We start from the raw sequence: 14,160 nt of genomic DNA, 5'->3' as shown, positions 1-14,160 counted from the left end.
GATGGTTCAGGGGCAGCCAAAATGGAGCCATGCATGGGGTGGGCACCCCGAGGCCTTGGGTTCCTCCAGGCCTTCCCTGCAGTCCTGAGCCGTGAAACACAGTCCAGGGGTTCCCCTTCTCATTTGGAGCTACTGGCATTTTGTCCAACTGTGGGGCATCTGGCCTAGGCCAGGATAAAGTGGGTACTGGGTATGGGCCAATATTTCCAGACCCTGCCCTGTGATTCACGACCTTACGGCCTCCACTTTCTCAGTTTGCAGCCCAACTGAAGAGCAGGGTCAGCCCACCCTTCAAACAAGCCCCCCTGGAGCCCCACCCGCTGTGTGGCCTGGACTTCTGCCCCACCAATTGCCACATCAACCTCATGGAAGTGTCCTACCCCAAGACCACCCCCTCAGTGGGCAGGTCCTTCAGCATCCGCTTTGGACGCAAACCCTCCCTCATCGGCCTTGACCCGGAGCAAGGTACCTGTGTGTGTCTATTAGAAACTGTGTTCAGATGTTGCACTCCAGATACTTAAACCAAAACTTGTCTGAAGGTCAGCCGTCCAGGGCTGGAATGGCGGCTCCATGGTCATCAGGGATGACCTTCTCTCTTTATGGGACAGCATCTCTAGATGTGGCTTTATGCCTTGTGGATGATATCTGCTGGGGTACCAGCCATCATGTCTGCATTGCAGGCAGGAAAAGATCACAGTAGTTAAAAGCATGTTAGCACCAGACTGGAACAGTCTTCTTGAAGTAACTGAATGAATTAAGAGTATTTAGAAGGGACATTTTTCTCCTTCATTGGGATCCTTGAAATGGGTTTGTATTGTTCCGCCCAAAGGCCCAGTGGATGCTGGGGGCTGTTTTCCAGTGAGCTCTCTCTTCCTCCACTGCAGGCCACCTGAACCCCATGTCGTACACCCAGCACTGCATCACCACCATGGCTGCTCCCTCCTGGAAGTGCTTGCCTGCTGCAGAGGGTGATCCCCAAGGCCAGGGTCTCCATGATGGCAGCTTCGGGCCAGCCAGTGGGACCCTTGGTCAGGAAGACCGGGGCCTCAGCTTCCTACTCAAGCAGGAGGACCGTGAGATCCAGGATGCCTACCTGCAGCTCTTCACCAAGCTGGATGTGGCCCTGAAGGAGATGAAGCAATATGTCACCCAGATCAACAGGTGAGCGCTGGCCGGGGGTGTCCGGCGTGAGCAGGGGCAGGTGTTCTCAATCCTGGCCTTACTGACATTGTGGGTAGCATCATTCTTTGTAGTGGGGGGTGGGCTGTCCTGGACATTATAGGCTATTTAGCAGTATCTTTTTCGTCTATCCACTAGCTGCCAGTAGCACCCCCTCACCTGATTGTGACAACCAAAAATGTCTTCAGACATTGCTAAATATCCCCTGCAGGGAAAATCATCCCTGACTGAGAACCACTGGTGTAATGAAATATTATGGATATAGCAGCGCTCATCAGTGAGGCTAAAACTATCTGCTGAAAGATTCTGGAGAGAACTTTATAATTTTAACATCATAGAAAGGAGGCAGCTGTACAAGCCGTCCTTTTGCTGTAATACAACAGGACACAGACGCAGCCCCGCCCACGAGGCTCTTGCCAGCAGATACAGAGCTGTCATCTCCTGAAGGTTCAAGGTCTCCTTACTCAGCTCTAGGATGTGGGGCAGAGGGTGGTTCAATGGCACCTTGGGGAGGCATCCGGCCAAATCATCAACGAATGATGGGGAAGCAGGTGTGGGGAAGAGGAACTGCTGGAGATTAAAGAGACTCAAGAGACGGACCTGCCAGATGCAGCCTCTGAACCTGCTTAGCAGGTTTCTAGCACGTCCATGTGGGGAGGCATTTTGAGACAATCAGGGGTGTTTGTCCACAGACTGGGTGCTTGATGGTATTGAGGACTCCTTCCTTCTGTTGGGCACAGTTGAGCAGTGTGGTCTGTGTAAAGCAGTGTCTCTCACCCTTGACACTGGTGACATTTGGGGCTGGATTATTCCTTGTTGGGGAGCTGTCCTGGGCATCGGAGGATGTTCAGCAGCATCTGGGGTCTCTACCTACGAGATGCTGGTGGCAAAATCCCTCTTCAGTTAAGACAAGTAGAAGTGTCTTTGGACATAGCTAAAGATTTCCTAGGGGGCAAAATTGCCCCCACTTGAGAACCACATGTTTAAAAGAAAGTCTGTATGTATTAGAGACACCTGCGGAAGTAGGTGTGGTGGAATTACGTGTTATCTTGGACTTGTTTTAAATACTCCAGTGGGCTGGGTACAGTGGCTCATGCCTGTAATTTCAGCACTTTGGGAGGCTGAGTTGGAGGGATTCCTTGAGCCCAGGACTTTGAGACCAGCCTGGGCAACGTAGTGAAACCCTATCTCTATAAAAAAAAAATCCTAAAATTAGCCAGGCGTGATGGCATACACCTGTTGTCCCAGCTCCTCAGTGTGCTGAGGCAGGATGACTTGAGCCCAGAAGATCGAGGCTGCAGTAAGCCATGATTGCACCACTGCACTCCAGCCTGGGTGAAAGAACGAGACCCTGTCTCAAAACAAAACAAAATGCTCCAGGGAAATAAAAAGTGATGGGGATCATGGGGGAAACAAGGTGGACCCTGAGTGGCTGTTGTTGAAGCTGCCTGTTGGATACCTGGGTTCATGATATTCTCTCTACTTTTGTGTATGATGGAAATATTCCATGATAAGGGAAAAAAAGAATGTAGACTCTAGAGCCAGGAGGCCTGGGTTCAAATCCTGGCCCTGCTACTTATCCACTGTGCAAACTTAGGCAAGTCACTTAACCACTCTGAGCCTTGGTTTCCTCGTTTGTCAAATGGGGCTAATCATGCTACTGACTGTGGAGATGTGGTGGGATTGCATCTAGCTGGGCGTATTCATCACTGCTCACTTAGAAGGCACGAGACACTGTTCTTTTTTTTTTTTTTTTTTTTTTGAGATGTTGTCTCACTGTGTCACCAGGCTGCAATGCAGTGGTGTGATCTCTGCTCACTGCAACCTCCGCCTCCTGGGTTCAACCAATTCTCCTGCCTCAGCCTCCCAAGTAGCTGGGACTATAGGCACACGCCACCACTCCCAGCTAATTTTTGTATTTTTAGTAGAGATGGGGTTTCACCATGTTGGCCAGGATGGTCTTGATCTCTTGATCTCGTGACCCACCCGCCTTGGCCTCCCAAAGTGCTGGGATTACAGATATGAGCCACCACGCCTAGCAGAGACACTGTTCTGAGCACTTTATCCAACTGTCACCAGGCTAGAGTGTGATGGTGTGATCATAGGTTGCCACAGCCTCGAACTCCTGGGCTCAAGTGATCCTCCTGCCTCAGCCTCCCAAGTGACTAGGACTACAGGCACATGCCGCCATGCCTGGCTAATTTTTGTATTTGTTACAGAGATGCGGTCTCACAGCTGGTCTTGAAGTCTTGAGCTAAAGAGATCCTCCTGCCTCAGCCTCCCAAAGTGTTGGGATTACAGGCGTGAGCCACTGGGCCTAGCCTGTTTACACATTTTAACTCCCTTAATTGTCACAGAAGCCTAAGATATAGATACTGATATGATCCCATTTTACATATGAGGAAACAGAGTCTCCGAGAGTTTAAATAATTAGCTTGAGGAATGGCAATACTGGGATTTGAATCTGGGGTTTAGCTAGCTTCAAAACCTGTGCTCTTAACCGTCACACCCTACAGTGGGGATTGATGAGCTATGGCCTAGGGGCCCAGTCCAGACTTCAGCCTATTGTTTTCTTTTTCTTTTCTTTTCTTTTTTTTTTTTTTTTTGAGATGGGTTCTCTCGCTCTGTGCAGTGGTGCGATCTTGGCTCACTTCAACCTCCGCCTCCCAGGTTCAAGCGATTCTCATACGAGCCTCCCGAGTAGCTGGGATTACAGGCACCCGCCACCACACCCAGTTAATTTTTGTTTGTTAGTAGAGACAGGGTTTCGCCATGTTGGCCATGTTGGCCAGGCTGGTCTCAAACTCCTGACCTCAGGTGATCAGCCCACCTCAGCCTCCCAAAGTACTGGGATTACAGGTGTGAACCACTGCGCCCAGCTGATTGTTTTCATTTTTAAACAAGGTGTCATTGGAACACAGCCACGCCCATTTGCTTCCACACTGTCCAGGTCTTTCCCACTGCAACAGCAGGTTGAATGGTTGTCACTGAGACCCTACAGCCTATTGAGGTGGAAGGATTTGCTCTCAGGGTCTTCACAGGAAAGGCTTCCTGCCTCACCTTCTGGTAGAGCCTTGTGTAGCTTGGCCGTGAAAGAACTTGCGAGTCTCCCACCCCCAACAGGAGGGCCAGTGCTCACACCTGCAGCTGCTGGTGGGATTTTCAGGGAAGGGACACAAAGGGCCAGGCCTGTATCTTTGACTTCAAGGTCTTTGCTTCCGTAGGCTGCTGTCCACCATCACAGAGCCCACCTCGGGTGGGTCCTGCGACGCATCCTTGGCTGAGGAGGCCTCCTCCCTGCCCCTGGTCAGTGAAGAGAGCGAGATGGACAGGAGTGACCATGGGGGCATCAAGAAGGTGTGCTTCAAGGTGGCCGAGGAGGACCAGGAGGACTCAGGCCACGACACCATGAGTTATCGCGACTCCTACAGGTGGGTGTCACCGTCAGGGGGCTGAGGTTAGATGAGGATGGCCCTGGACAGGTGAGGCCACGGACCCGTGGCAACATCAGAATCAGTGGACACTTCTCAGGGTGCAGTGGGCTCAGGGTGCTGTTGCTGATAGCGTGGTTCTGGGGGATTATCTGAGACCCCTGAGCCTGGAAGACCCACTTAGGCTCCCCAGTTGCAAAGCTGACATTTTAGGGTTGTCCCCACGTGGACCCATCTGTTCTGCCTCAGTGTCACCCCACACATGCTGACACGATGTTGTCAGGCACAAGGGCAAGATTCTGTGGTGTGTTTGCAAACTCAGTGTAAGACATACGGTTTCTGAAACAAGCACTATTTATGTTTATTTGGTCCAAGGAGGAAGAGTGCAGTTTTTTCCCCTCCTAACCTGAGAAGATCTAAATTTTCTACTGGTTAATTATAACAAGATCAGTGAGGTCCTAACTAGTTGGTTAAATAGACTAAAACTCAGTTTCCTGTAATAAGCCATATAATGGGTAAGTTTAATTCCTTACTGCAGATAAACCAGCACTGTGGTCCCAGTGAAAGGTGACATCACATTTGCCCATGGTGGTTACAGTGGAATCTTAGAGGGTGCTTCAACTGTTTGTGGGCAAAAATCAGAACTGATACAGTTTGAGAAGGCAGACCTTCCCCCCAGTCCTCGCAGCGTGAATGTTCTTCCAGTCGTCAAGGGATCTGCCTGATCCCCCGTTGGCTGCTCGCCTGGCGTCTGTATCTGGCTGCTGCGGCACTTTGTGCCCCCAGAGCCTCATGTCCATAGTCTCAGATTTTGCCCTCTCTCTGGGATTTCATTCTTACATTTTTGGGTCCTCCAGTTTTTCCTTTAATTTTCAAAAAGGTGAAGGAAAAAATGTCAGGATCCTGGGTTTTGATCTCCCACACCTTCCGAGTTCCTGGGCCGTAGGGAATCCAATCCAGTCCCTGTCCTCATGAGGTTTCCAGCCAGGCTGGGGGCTGAGGAGACGGAAGACAGAGCCCTGTGGAATGGGCAGGTGTCTCAGGGCAAGGCTGTCCCCTGGGGACACTGGACAGAGTGACACCTGCGTGAAAATGATTCACCGTCTTCCTCCTATTTCTGTGTTTCTGTGCTAGAGCCTAGAAACGTTTCCCAGCCCTCAGGCGTGGAAAACCCACCAGGCCGGCCTTCCCTGCCTTTGGGACCCAGGACCGGTGCTCGGTGCCCTCTCTGGGCTGCACGCCCACCTGAGGGCCCAGGGGTTTTGTCTACACTGTAGAAAGTGGGTTTTGGGTGCCAGGACCAGATGGCCTGAGCTCAGGGTGACTCAGCCCCTTCTCTGGGCCCCTTTGCAGCGAGTGTAACAGCAATCGAGACTCGGTCCTGTCCTACACCAGCGTGAGAAGTAACAGCTCCTACTTGGGCAGCGACGAGATGGGGTCTGGTGAGTGGAGTGGCAGCGGCCTGTGCTCAGGGAGAGAGGCTCCTCCCCATGAGATTTAGTTTTAGTTTATTTTATTATACTTTCCTCTGCATTATATTGTTTTGTGTTTTATTGCATGGTCCTGTACTTGATTTCCTTCCATTCAGTCATTCAACAAGTATTTCTTGAGCCCATATTATGTGCTGGGCACTGGGAATGCGGCAGCGAAAGAAACAAACATCTCCGCCCTCTTAGAGCTGATGTTCTCCGTGAATGTCATGGAGATGGAGCAAATGGAAGCATGCACGGTTCAATTCTGTGTACTTCATGTTCGATGAATGTTGTGATGCGTGTGCTGACAACTAAACAGGGTGACCTCATGGTTTATGTAAAAATGATACATGTGTAAACCGAAAATCCAAATGACACAGAGCAGTTCAAAGAAGTACCCATGGCTGAGCGTGGTGGCTCACGCCTGTAATCCCAGCACTTTGGGAGGCCAAGGCAGGCGGATCACTTTAGGTCAGGAGTTTGAGACCAGCCTGGCCAACATGGTGAAACCCCGTCTCTACTAAAAATACAAAAAATTAGCTGGGTGTGGTGGTGCACGCACCTGTAATCCCAGCTATTTGGGAGGCTGAGGCAGGAGAATCACTTGAACTTGGGAGGGGGAGGTTGCAGTGGACTCAGATCATGCCACTGCACTCCAGCCTGGGTGACAGAGTGAGACTCCATCTCAAGAAACAAGCAAACAAACAAACAACAAAAAGAAGTCCATAAAAATGAATGAGAGTCTTATCATCTCCCCCAGAAATGACCCTCGCCAGCATTTGGAGCTCATTGGTGGGGCCTGTGAATGCATGGATGGGCAGGTGGGTGGATGGATGGATAGACAGACATAGACAATATTTTATAAATTAGATCATACTCTACTTACAGCTTTTTTTTTTAAATTTTTTTTTGAGACAGAGTCTCACTCTGTTGTCAGGCTGGAGTGCAGTGGCACGATCTCAGCTCACTGCAACCTCCACCTCCCGGGTTCAAGCGATTTTCCTGCCTCAGGCTCCTGAGTAGCTGGGATTACAGGCGCCCGCCACCACATTCAGATAATTTTTGTATTTTTAGTAGACATAGGGTTTCACCATGTTGGCCAGGATGGTCTTGATCTCTTGACCTTGTGATCCGCCTGCCCCGGCCTCCCAAATTGCTGGGATTAAAGGCGTTACTGAAAGCCTGAAATTGTTTTTTATTTTAGTCTTGTTTACTTCAGACTTTAAAGCAGTTCATTTTGCAAATGGGTTGTGTATCCACATGGTACATAATTCAGAAGGCCCCGGAGGGTGCATGGTGACAAGTCTCCCCCCCACCCTTGGTTCTCAGGCTGTCACTGCTGTTCCCACTGTCACTGCAGTCTTGTGTGTCTTTTCAGAGATAGTCTGTGCATAAAAATTTAATTTTAATTATACTTCAATTAACAGAAGAAAAAGAAGCTCAAGTAAAATGGAAGAAATTGTTGAACTTTAGATACAGATTTCATCACATAAGATAGTCAACTGCACAAACTGTCCCCAGGTGGCTCTAGGAAGGAGTTGGGTGTGACAGCTGATGTAACTGAACCAGCTGGGTGAGGAATCAGGAGACGTGGCCTCCAGGTCCTTTTCTCTGTTCCTCAGTCCCTCATTTGCAGAATGGAAACAGTAGCAGTGCTTTACAATCTTGTCATGCGTTAGTGCCTGTTGTCCATTTTGCAGATGAAGAAACTGAGGCTCAGAGAGGTCAGGTGATTTGCCCTGTGGCTCACAGCCAGGACCTGGTCTTCAGACTCCACATCCCTTGTGGGTTTGGAGTTCTGTAGCTGTATCCCCCTCTTAGGAAAGTGCTGGGGATGGTGTGAGGTGGGGCAGGAATGACTGATGGCTGCTGCTTCTACCTCCTGCCAGGAGATGAGCTGCCCTGTGACATGCGGATCCCATCTGACAAGCAGGACAAGCTTCATGGCTGCCTGGAGCACCTCTTTAACCAGGTAGGACCTTTGCCCCACTCCTGGCGCAACTTTGGGTTCCTCCTGTCACACCTGGGGAGGGCCCATGACCCGGGGGCTGTGGGTCCCAGATGTCTGCAGTGTGTAGGGCCACGGGGCCCAAACCAACCCCAGGCTTCTTGCCACCCAGGTGGACTCCATCAATGCTCTCCTCAAGGGGCCAGTCATGAGCCGGGCTTTCGAAGAGACCAAGCATTTCCCTATGAACCACAGCTTACAAGGTGAGGGGATAGCCAGTCCAAGGTGACAGCCTGCGATGGGGAAGGGTGTTAGACAGGGCGGCGTACCCGGGCTAATGCTCAGCTCTGCCCTCCTACTGCTGAACGACTGTAGGATCATCAGGACAGCGATTTTAGCCCATGGGCCACATCCAGTCCATGACCTGTTTTTGTAGGCTCTGAGCCAAGAATGGTTCTTTTTCTTTTTCTTTTGACCTTTCCCCTTCCCCTCCCCTCCCCTTCCCTCCCCTCCTGTTTCTTTTCCTTCCTTCCTTCCTTCCTTCCTTCCTTCCTTCCTTCCTTCCTTCCTTCCTTCCTTCCTTCCTTCCTCTCTCTCTCTCTCTCTTTCTTTCTTTCTTTCTTTCTTTCTTGTTTTTTGGAGAAAGGGTCTCACTCTATCACTCAGGCTGGAGTACAGTGGTATGATCACAGCTCACTGCAGCCTTGACCTCCCAGGCTCAAGTTATCCTCACAACTCAGCCTCCTAAGTAGCTGGGACTACAGGTGCACGCCACTTCTCCTGGCTAATTTTGGATTTTTTTTTTTTGGTAGAGACATGGTTTGCCTTGTAGCCATGGCTGGTTTTGAACTCCTGGGCTCAAGTGGTCCTCCTGCCTTGGCCTCCCAAAGTGCTGGGATTCCAGGTATGAGCCACTGTGCCCAGCCTTCCTTCATGTCTTTTAAACCATACTCATTTTTTTCTTATTATTGACATCACTTTTTAAAAAGTATCACTCTTAAAAAATTTAATTTTGAAAGGACCTTATTGAACTCCCTATATATGAAAAGCCAGCATAATATGCCAAAATTTGATGATAAACCATAATGATAATGATAAATTAAATGCAAACAACGGCAACGAAATATCATTATACCGCAGTTAGGCACTGTTGCCTGCCAAGGGCTCTTTGTTCTTCATTTAAGAGAGGGATTTGTGAATTAAAGAAGTGTTAAGGGCTTACCAACACCAAATTGAGGCTTTCTTCTTGAAATGATTGAGAGAAAAGGAATTGAAATTTCTTATGTTCTCCCACCTACCTCTCCTCCCATTTACCCACCTACCCACCCTACTCATCCACCCAACCTACTATCCGTGCATCCACCCATCTACCCTCCCACTGTCTATCCATCTATCCACCCATCTATCCATCCACTCATCCATTTATCATCTAGCTATCCATCCATTCACCCACTCAGCCACCCATGCACCCATCAATCCATCCGTCCATCCACCCCTCCACCCAACTACCCACTTACCATCTATCCATCCACCCACCCACCCACCCACCCATCCATCCATCTACCCACCTACCCATCCATCCATCCATCTTCTTGTCTGTCCATCCATCCATCCTTCCCTCCTTCCATCTGTGTGCCCACTCTTTCACCCTTCTACCCATTCATTCATCATCTACCTGTCCATTCATGCTTCTGTACATCCAGTAAATAATTTCCCAGAACCAGCTTGTGCCAGGCCTTGTACTGGGCACTGGAGACCCTGAGATGAATTTGATACTGCCCTGACCTCAAGGAGCTCATTGTAGATTGTAGGAGATAGAAATGCAGATGGGCAGTTGCCACCAAGAGAGGGTGGGAAGTGGTGAGGACTTGGGGCTCCCCAGCTCAGCTGCACATCCTGCTGTCTCAGGATCAGCTTTCAGGGATGGACCTCAGAAAGCAGAAACAGCAAACCCACAAATATCTCAGAAACTGGGACCTTGCAGGAGGAAAGAGCCTTTGTCTTTTGCAGGGGCCTTTTTCTTCCTGGCCTCTGAATGGTGGGGCCAGAGGTAAGTCCCAGCGCTGTCACTGCCCAGTTGCATGACTTAAGGCATGTCACTTTCCCACTCTGTGTGTGGGCTTCCTCCTCTGTGTAGGGAAAGGGATAGAACTCATGTGCCATCTCAATTGGTTGTGGCTATGAGGAGGTAGTTCCTGAGAATCCTTCTGTGGCTACAACATCCAGGCTTAGACGAAAGGAAAGCCGTGATTGATTTGTGAGGTCTGCACTGGATTGGCTATAGCTGTGGGGAGTCTTGGTCTCAGAGCAGCAGGAAGGAGTGCTGAGATTGATGAATAATGCCTGCCATGGGTGTGGTACCATGAAATAGCACACTTACCCTCTGTGGACCCGATAATGCCCAGGAGTCCTGCCAGCTCCCTTGATCTAGGATTATGAGCTCTGGGATCTGTGATGGGACATAGGCCTTTGTGCCACCGTTCTCCAACACTACCTCCGTCCCTTCCCTGGCCCTCATGCCACTTTCCTGCCCCAGAGTTTAAACAGAAAGAAGAGTGTACAATCCGTGGCCGGAGCCTGATCCAGATTAGCATCCAGGAGGACCCCTGGAACCTCCCCAACTCCATCAAGACCCTGGTGGACAACATTCAGAGATATGTGGAAGGTCGGTGGGCAGGGAGGGTGCATCATGGTGGGGAGGGGGCCATGGCTTTTGGTGTGGAACCTGAGAGAATCAGGAATGGATCCAGTTCTGTGACCCCTGTTTCTCCATGACCAGGGAGAGGACAAGAGAAGTGATGCCCTCTCTCAGCTGAGTGTCCTGCCCTGGGCAGGATGTGACTTGAGCCCAGGAGTTTGAGACCTGGGCAACATAGTGAGACCCTGTCTCTATCAAAACAAAAATCAGAAACAAAACAAAACAAAACAAAGCCCTGACTTTGGAGGTTGAAAAGGCTGAACCTGTTCTTTCTCAGCTTCCAAAGCATTGGATGTGTGAGTTCCTGTTATTATCAGGGTATGAGGGACACCGGCTGGCAGCCCACTGACCAGATTCAGGCCCACAGATAGGTTTCGATGCTGCAGCAGCAAAAACTGTGACTCTGCTTCCAGCTTGACAAAGGTTCTCACATAGAAACTTGGATTTCTGGCTGCTCTTGAACAACACGAAGATCTGGTGACTCTAGGCCCAGTCTCCCATCCTCCCTTGGTGGAGAGGAGTGGCGGCCGCTCTGTGTACGTGGGGCCGAGGTGCTTTCCAGTTCACCCCAGTCTCCACCACTCCCTGTGGCTTGGCGTCTGCTCCACGCATCTTACATCACCTGCCTGGCCCTTGCCGGCATTTGCGTCTGAGACTCCTGCGTTAGAAGGATCCGGACGAGGGAGATGTTTGACCAGGACAGTGGGAGATTAGAGGACTCTGGGCTGTTCCCTCGGGGAATGGCAGCCTCTGAGTCGGAGTCTCTGCTGCTTCTGATCTGTCCTGTTCTCCAAAAGTGTAACCAGTGAGGAGCATCGACTCTGGGTCCAGACCACCAGGGCTTGAATCCCAGCTCACCCACTTACTGGCTGTGTGATCATGGCGAGTTCCTTGACGCCTCTGGCCTTAGCTTCTTCCTGTGTCAAATGGGCCCACAGTGCTGCCTCCTTCCCGTGTGGTCAGGAGGATTAAATGAGTCAGCATAGGTCATGCGCTCAGTGCCCTGGCTGCCTGGCGTGGTGACTCCTGGCCTGGCTTCCTGGTGTGGTGAGTTCTGGCCTGGCTGCCTGGCGTGGTGAGTCCTGCCGTGGTGCCTGGCGTGGTGAGTCCTGACAAGAGCGCACCACTGCAGCTGCTCTCGTTCTTACCCTGCCCAGCCCTGAGTCCTGCAGTCCTCCCTGGGGAAGAAGGCACCTAATAAACCAAATCCAAAGCCCTTCCACATCTTTCTAAGCCCTTTTGTGGGCCGAGGAGCATCTTTTTTAAGGAAAGAGAACAGGATGTTGGGCCTGGAAGAATTGAGCTTTTTTTGCAGGACAGGGCGTGTGTAGGGCCATGCCCATGTAGGATGAGAATATGTATGTGAGGCTGTTAGGAGTGTGTGTCTTATGTGTGCACTCGTGTGTCTGTTGTGTGTCTGTGTGGATGTGTGTGTACCTGTGTGTGTACATATGTATGTGAGTCTGCAGATGAGTGCACGTGTGTGGTGTGCACTTGTGTGTCTGCTGTGTGCTTGTGTGGGCGCATGTGTACCTGCGTGTGTACATATGTGAGTCTACGTATGAGTATATGTGTGTGTCTCTGTGTGTGGCATGCACTTGGGTGTCTGTTGATGTGTGAGTGTGTGTGTGTATGGATACGTGTGTATCTAGGTTGTACGTGTGTGTGACCATACTTATGTGAACAAGGTGTGGGGCAGGGGCTGTGGCCCAGGGATTAAAGGGGCTGGTTCCATCTGTGTCCCAGGCTTGCACGTACAGATGGGGCTCACAGTTGGGGTTCCACTGCCTGAGGTCAGGGGTTCCTGGAGTTTACCTGACAATCAATAAAACCTCCTTGAGCACAGCCTTGGGTGCCAGGGCTTTGCTGTGAAGGGTCAGAGCACCTTGGGAGGTGCCATGGGGAGGGGCCCGGTTCTGCCCTCACCTCTTGCTGCCCCCTCCCAGCCCGTCCCCCTTTCTGTCTCCCTTCTCCTTCCAGATGGGAAGAACCAGCTGCTCCTGGCCTTGCTGAAGTGCACAGGTGAGGCCTTTAAAGGTGTGTGGGGGGCACATACCCGGCCTCTTCCACCACCCAAGGCCGACCATCCATGCCCTCGGGGCCTGGACGGGGGGAGGCAACGCTTTGGCCTGGAGCCCCTCCAAGAGCTACTTGAAACTTGCTTCTTCCTCTTGTGTCCAAGGGACAAGTCTCAGGGCACTGGAGCCAGGAGCCCTGTCCTGTGCCACTGCCCAGGCCTGGGTGGATGTTGACGGGGCCCCGGGATAGAGGACGATGTTAGGGGGCCTTGTGCCGGTAGAGCCTTCAGCCCCAGCCTGGGGGCTTCCACCCAGCAGAGAGTGGGGAAGAGGAAGGGGGAGGAGGTAGCGGGAGAATCTTGGAGACCTTCTCTATCCCTGCCTTCTTTCTAGAAATTAGCCAAGGGGGTGCTACTGCAGGATCTGGGTCAAATTTGGTCACTAAAAAACTCACTGGCCAGAAGCCGGCCATTGGAAATAATTCCTTCCAGAAGATTGGGACCCTGAGAGACCAATTGCTTGAAACTGGCCAGTTCTTCAGACCATGCCAAGGTCAAGGACAGGGGCAAGGGCAGAGGTGGGGGAAGGAAGAAAGCATAGTTCTCCAAAATAGAGAAAATGCTAAACTGCATTTCTGAACATGTGCAGCTTGGCAGAAGAGCTTAGCACCATTGGCATTCTACTGGCCAAGGCCAAGGAATCCCATAATGAGAGGAGAAATGGCTGAGGGTGAGGGTCTTGGGAAACCCTTAGGAAAATCACAAGATGTTTGTTTGTTTGTTTGGTTTTCAAAGCAGGCAGATGAGTCACTGAGAGAACAGTTTTGGCAAATGGGCTTGCTTTTCGTAGAATTGATTTTTGTGGAATTGGCTTTTGGTGGCTGGGATGTCCACCAAAAAGTAATTTCTGGCCTGATGTTAGCCCTTTGCTGGGGGTTCCATGAGGGGTCCTGGACCCAGGGTTTTGGGGGGTGGGCCTCCTGGTGGCACGGGAGCGCCCCTCCAGCAAGGCCTCCTGCCCTCTGCCCCCAGACACGGAGCTGCAGCTGCGCAGAGACGCGATCTTCTGCCAGGCCCTGGTGGCCGCCGTGTGCACCTTCTCCAAGCAGCTGCTGGCGGCCCTGGGCTACCGCTACAACAACAATGGCGAGTACGAGGAGAGCAGCCGCGACGCCAGCCGCAAGTGGCTGGAGCAGGTGGCGGCCACGGGCGTCCTGCTGCACTGCCAGTCCCTGCTCTCGCCAGCCACAGTGGTGAGTGAGTGGGGCGGGAGGGCGGCCCCGCTGGCCCACCCACTGGTGCCCGCCCAGGCCGGGTCGAGGGAGCCCTTGCCCACTTACTCAGGCTCCCCCTGGCCTCGTCATTCCCGCAGCAGCTATTTGTTGAGCACCTGTGTGCTGTTTTATAGGCACTGA

The 14,160-nt window shown here is 51.5% G+C and overlaps 1 protein-coding gene across 6 annotated transcripts in view, besides 2 other annotated features; it reads left to right on the top strand.

Annotated features, from left to right (window-relative positions):
- PREX1 (phosphatidylinositol-3,4,5-trisphosphate dependent Rac exchange factor 1) overlaps positions 1 to 14,160 on the top strand; it is a 263,934-nt gene that overhangs the window by 237,725 nt on the left and 12,049 nt on the right. For all 6 annotated transcript variants that reach the window (XM_047440333.1, NM_020820.4, XM_047440332.1 and 3 more), the window contains 9 exons: positions 255 to 465; positions 885 to 1,161; positions 4,404 to 4,610; positions 5,964 to 6,052; positions 7,972 to 8,054; positions 8,203 to 8,293; positions 10,567 to 10,695; positions 12,709 to 12,750; positions 13,778 to 13,998. In XM_047440333.1, the coding sequence (XP_047296289.1) occupies positions 255 to 465; positions 885 to 1,161; positions 4,404 to 4,610; positions 5,964 to 6,052; positions 7,972 to 8,054; positions 8,203 to 8,293; positions 10,567 to 10,695; positions 12,709 to 12,750; positions 13,778 to 13,998 (1,350 nt within the window). The remainder of the gene's footprint in view (positions 1 to 254; positions 466 to 884; positions 1,162 to 4,403; positions 4,611 to 5,963; positions 6,053 to 7,971; positions 8,055 to 8,202; positions 8,294 to 10,566; positions 10,696 to 12,708; positions 12,751 to 13,777; positions 13,999 to 14,160) is intronic.
- Positions 7,725 to 7,869: a silencer, noted in NCBI's record as "fragment chr20:47259130-47259274 (GRCh37/hg19 assembly coordinates)". NCBI's record gives its function as "represses an EF-1alpha promoter that drives an FKBP-Casp9 reporter gene in an ReSE screen in phorbol 12-myristate 13-acetate-treated (for megakaryocytic differentiation) K562 erythroleukemia cells {active_cell/tissue: K562(+PMA)}" and the evidence as "EXISTENCE:reporter gene assay evidence [ECO:0000049][PMID:32094911]".
- Positions 11,616 to 11,910: an enhancer, noted in NCBI's record as "tiled region #6651; HepG2 Activating non-DNase unmatched - State 20:ReprD". NCBI's record gives its function as "activates a minimal TATA promoter and a strong SV40 promoter by Sharpr-MPRA in HepG2 cells {active_cell/tissue: HepG2}" and the evidence as "EXISTENCE:reporter gene assay evidence [ECO:0000049][PMID:27701403]".

Source organism: Homo sapiens, chromosome 20 (genome assembly GCF_000001405.40).
Source record: "Homo sapiens chromosome 20, GRCh38.p14 Primary Assembly".
In the NCBI taxonomy this organism is placed as follows: domain Eukaryota; kingdom Metazoa; phylum Chordata; class Mammalia; order Primates; family Hominidae; genus Homo; species Homo sapiens.
Note: the sequence above shows the minus strand (reverse complement) of the source record. Positions and strands in the feature narration are given on the sequence as shown.